The sequence below is a fragment of the Homo sapiens genome, chromosome 15 (genome assembly GCF_000001405.40).
Source record: "Homo sapiens chromosome 15, GRCh38.p14 Primary Assembly".
Classification (NCBI taxonomy): Eukaryota; Metazoa; Chordata; class Mammalia; order Primates; family Hominidae; genus Homo; species Homo sapiens.
The window spans coordinates 59,963,509-59,968,196 of NC_000015.10; the positions used below are offsets into that span (position 1 = coordinate 59,963,509).

At 39.9% G+C, this 4,688-nt stretch overlaps 1 pseudogene; it reads left to right on the forward strand.

The window, feature by feature from the left end:
* On the forward strand, positions 1,378 to 2,193 carry NMNAT1P5 (NMNAT1 pseudogene 5; annotated as a pseudogene).

The window sequence follows — 4,688 nt, forward strand, 5'->3', positions numbered from 1 at the left end:
TTTAATTTAATAATTTAATTTAATTGTTAATAATTAAGTTAAATTTTTTATTTTAATTTAATATGAGAGAGATCATGTTAAGTATTCTTATCAACATCAAATTTAAAAAATTTAATGGTCAAAAGATTTGAAAAGAGATTTTACCAAAGAAGTTAAGTGACTAGCCATTAAACACATTAAAATATTTTTCAACACTTTTATTAGGAAAATGCAAATTAAAATGACAATGAGACTAGGCATGGTGGCTCACACCTATAATCCCAGCACTTTTGGGGGACGAGGTGGGAGGATGGCTTAAAGTCAGGAGTTTGAGGCAAGCCTGGGAAACATAGCAAGGCCCACTCTCTACAAAATTTTAAAAATTAACCAGGCATGGTGATGCAAGCCTGTACTCCCAGCTACTCAGAAGACTGAGTCAGGAGGCTCACTTTAGCCCAGGAGGTCAAGGCTGCAGTTAACTATGATTATGCCACTGCATTCCAACCTGGGCCACAGAGCAAGATTCTGTCACAAAAAAAAAAAAAAAAAAAAGGAAAGAAACAAAGAAACAAAACCCCACAATGAAATACAACTACATACCTGCTAGAAGGATTAAAACTAAAAAGACTAACCATACTAAGTATTGATGAGGATATAGAGCAACCAGAATTCTTATACATTTATGATGGGAAGTAATATGTACAGTGATATTAGCAAAAGTTTGGCATTTTCTTTTAAAGTTAAACATATATTTATCACACAAACTGGAAATCCAACTTCTAGGTATTTACCTAAGAAAAATAAAAACATATGTCCACACAAAGACTTGTACACAAAAGTTCATAACTGCTTCAGTCACAAGAGCCAAAAATCTAGAAACAACCCAAATGGCTATCAATAGGAAGAGGGACTACCAAAATGTGGTATATCCATCAAGTGGACTACTACTCCGAAATAAAATGGTAAAAACTACCGATACACATGACACCATGTATGAATCTTAAAAACATTTTGCTAAGTGAAAGAAGCCCAATACAAAAGAGTACATATATGATTCCTAAAATCATATAATATAAAATCTTATTTTATATAAAATCATTTGTATAAAATCCTAAAATGGAAAAAGGTAACTTATAGTTACAGAAAGCAGAGTAGTAGATGCCAGGGATCAAGATTAGGGCAGGTAGAGAACAGATCCAAAGAGGCAAGAGAAAACTTTAGTGGTTGTGAAAATGGTTAATAATCTTATTTTGGGAGGCGATTGCACAGGTAAGTGTATTTGTCAAAAACCATCAAATTGGCTCTCTCTCACCTGCTGTCATCTAAGACATGGCCTTGCTTCCCTTTCACCTTCTGCCATGACTAAATTTCCTGAGGCCTCCCCAGCTATGTGGAACTACAACAAGAGAGATGTCACAGTTTTCCATTTAGATCAACAACTTCAAGTTCTTAACATGGAAAATTCAGAGAAGACTGAAGTGGTTCTCTTTGCTTGCAGTTCCTTTAAACCTATCACCGACATGCACCTCAGATTGTTTGAGCTGGCAAAGTCTACATCAATGGAACAGGAAGATACAGAGTTGTCAAACTCATAATCTCTCCTGTTGGCAATGCATATTAGAAGAAAAGACTCATTTCTGGGGCCAGGCGTGGTGCCTCACACCTGTAATCCCAGCATTTTGGGAGGCTGAAGCAGGCAGATCACGAGGTCAAGAGATTAAGACCATCCTGGCTAACACAGTGAAACCCCGTCTCTACTGAAAATACAAAAACTTAGCCGGGCATGTTGGCGGGTGCCTGTAGTCCCAGCTACTTGGGAGGCTGAGGCAGGAAAATGACATGAACCCGGGAGGCGGAGCTTGCAGTGAGCCAAGATTGCACCACTGCACTCCATCCAGCCTGGGTGACAGAGCAAGACTCTGTCTCAAAAAAAAAGAAAAAAGAAGGAGAAAAGACTCATTCCTGCTCATCACTGGGTCATCATGGCAGAACTTGCCACCAAGAATTCCAAATGGGTGGGAGTTAATACCCGGAAAGTCTTCAGAAGGACTGGACAGAGATTGTTAAGACACCATCAAGAGAAAGTGGAGGCCAGTAACTGTGATCACTAGCAGAACTCATCTACACTAGCAAGGCCTGGACGGAAGAAGAAGTGGACTGAACAAAGACAAGAGTCTAGTCAAAAGAAATCCCTAGAGCCCAAAACGAAAGGTGTGCCAAAGGTCAAGCTGCTATGTGGGGCAGATTTATTGGAGTCCTTCGTGGAAGAGTGAAGATATCGCCTAAATCGTGGCAGGCTATGGGCGCATATGTATTAGTTAGGCTGGAAATGATGCGCAGAAATTCATCTATGAATCTGATGTGCTGTGGAAACACCAGAGCAACATTCATGTTGTGAAGGAATGGATTACTAATGACATCTCATCCACAAAAATCTGGAGAGCCCTCAGAAGGGGCCAGAGCATTTGCTACTTGGTACCAGATCTTGTCCAAGAATACATGGAAAAGCATAATTTGTACAGTTCCAAGAATGAAGACAGGAATGTTGCAGTCATCCTGGCCCCTTTGCAGAGAAATGTCACAGAAGCTAAGGCATAGGAATTCTACAGCATGATGTTTTGGACTTCCCTTTTCGGGATTTGAAACAACCTGGGTTTTAGTAACTGGGGAAAGAAATTGTGACGCTGTTGCCTAAACTAAAGCTTAAAAGTTTAGTAAAAATCAGTGGTAAGTTAAAATCAGGGTTTTTTCCCTTTTATCAGAAATTGCTAAGATGAATTTTTTTGTATGTTTTTTTTAAAAAAAGAATGTACAATCTCTTTATCTTTAAAACAAGAGATTAGCAGCACACTAAAACCAAAAGAATTTTCAGTGAAACTAGCTATGAGTAAGAAGTCAAAAAGCAACAGCCTAGCTCTACCACATATAAGAAGTAAAGTGTGAAAAACAAAAGTTCATTGAAAATTCTAACTTTGGTTATGAAGGGAATTGACATTTTATTGATGCCTGCTGCTGGGTAATCTGCAGCTAGGGTAGACAAAGGAAGGAAATCTTACAGTGGTGATCTTGTAAAATGCACCATTGATAAATCATCTCCAGTTATGCAAAATAAAGGTTGTGAATATGCCTGGCAGAAACATTGCACCAATAGTTAGTTCTCTGTGGCACACATCAAAGTGGCCAACTAAATTTTGGCAAGACCTATCTGCCTGGAGCTTCACCTTTGGAAGAAGGGAGTGAGGTCCAAGCCCTTGTATGTTTAGAAAGGTACGCAGGTTATTTCTGATGCCCCCCAGAGGTAGAGAGCTACTGCCTTACACTCTATACACATTTATTTAGGCTTGTTGTGGGTTATGCTCTAGCCCTGGCCATCCGCCCTGTCTTTATCTTCAGGAACAACTTCAGAAAGGACATCAGGCTACATTGAATCTAGAAAACCACAGAAATTGAGGGGACTCATTCAAGGATTTTATAAGTCTGAATGCTCTTAACCTTTATTGGTAGCTTAATCAAAAGACCTGAGTGGGGTGCAGTGGCACATGCTCAGTAATCCCATCTATTTGGGAGGCTAAGGCAGGAGGATCACTTGAGCCCAGGACTTTGAGACCAGTCTGGGCTAAATAGTGAGAATTTGTCTTTAAAAACTGGAGTTTCTGAAGAACCCTGCTGTTTCTGTTTCAGCCTACTGTGAATCTGCCATTTGTGAATTTAATCAGAAAAAGGGTCTGTTTTCTTATACTTTTTTTCTTCTTGTCCTTTTGTGTGAAGTTTAACCAAAAGTAGTAGTCTCAAATAATTAGTCTTAGCTTTATGTTGAAAACACAAGCTTGTTACATAGTTTGCTACCGATTAAAATGTTGTAGAAGTTTTACCAATTTGTAAAGCAAAAAGACCGGAGATAGCTTTCTGTAGAATAGTTTTAGGGTTTGTAAAATAGTTCTATGATAGAAACAAAACTAAAGTTAAATTTCTAATGAAAATAGAATAATTTGCCTTTTGGCAATTTCTATTTTATACCTACACCACCCCAGATGAAGGGTTTGTAACTGCAGAAGAAAAAAAAAAATACTTAGAAATGTGCAATTGGGGCTCACACCTGTAATCCCAGCACTTTGGGAGGCCGAGGTGGGTGGATCACCAGGTCAGGAGATCGAGACCATCCTGGCCAACATGGTGAAACCCCGTCTCTACTAAAAATACAAAAATTAGCTGGGTGTGGTGGCGCGTGCCTGTAATCCCAGCTACTCGGGAGCCTGAGGCATGAGAAGCACTTGAACCCAGGAGGTGGAGCTTGCAGTGAGTCGAGATCACACCACTGCATTCCAGCCTGGCAATGGAGTGACACTCTGCCTCAAAAAGAAAGAAAAAAAGAAACTACTAAAGAAATGTGCAATTGGGCCAGACACGGTGGCTAATGCCTGTAATCGCAGAATTTTGGGAGGCCGAGGTATGAGGAGTTCAACACCAGCCTGGGCAACATGGCGAAATGCCATCTCTACAAAAATACAAAAATTAGCTGGCATAGTGGCAGGCACCTAGAGTCCTAGCTACTGGAGAGGCTGAGATACGAGGATTGCTTGAGCTCAGGAGGCAGAGTTTGCAGTGACCTGAGATCATGCCAGTGCACTCCAGACTGGATGACAAAGCGAGACCCTCTCTCAAAAACAAAAACAAAACAAAAACAGAAATGTGCAATGTATAGTCAGATC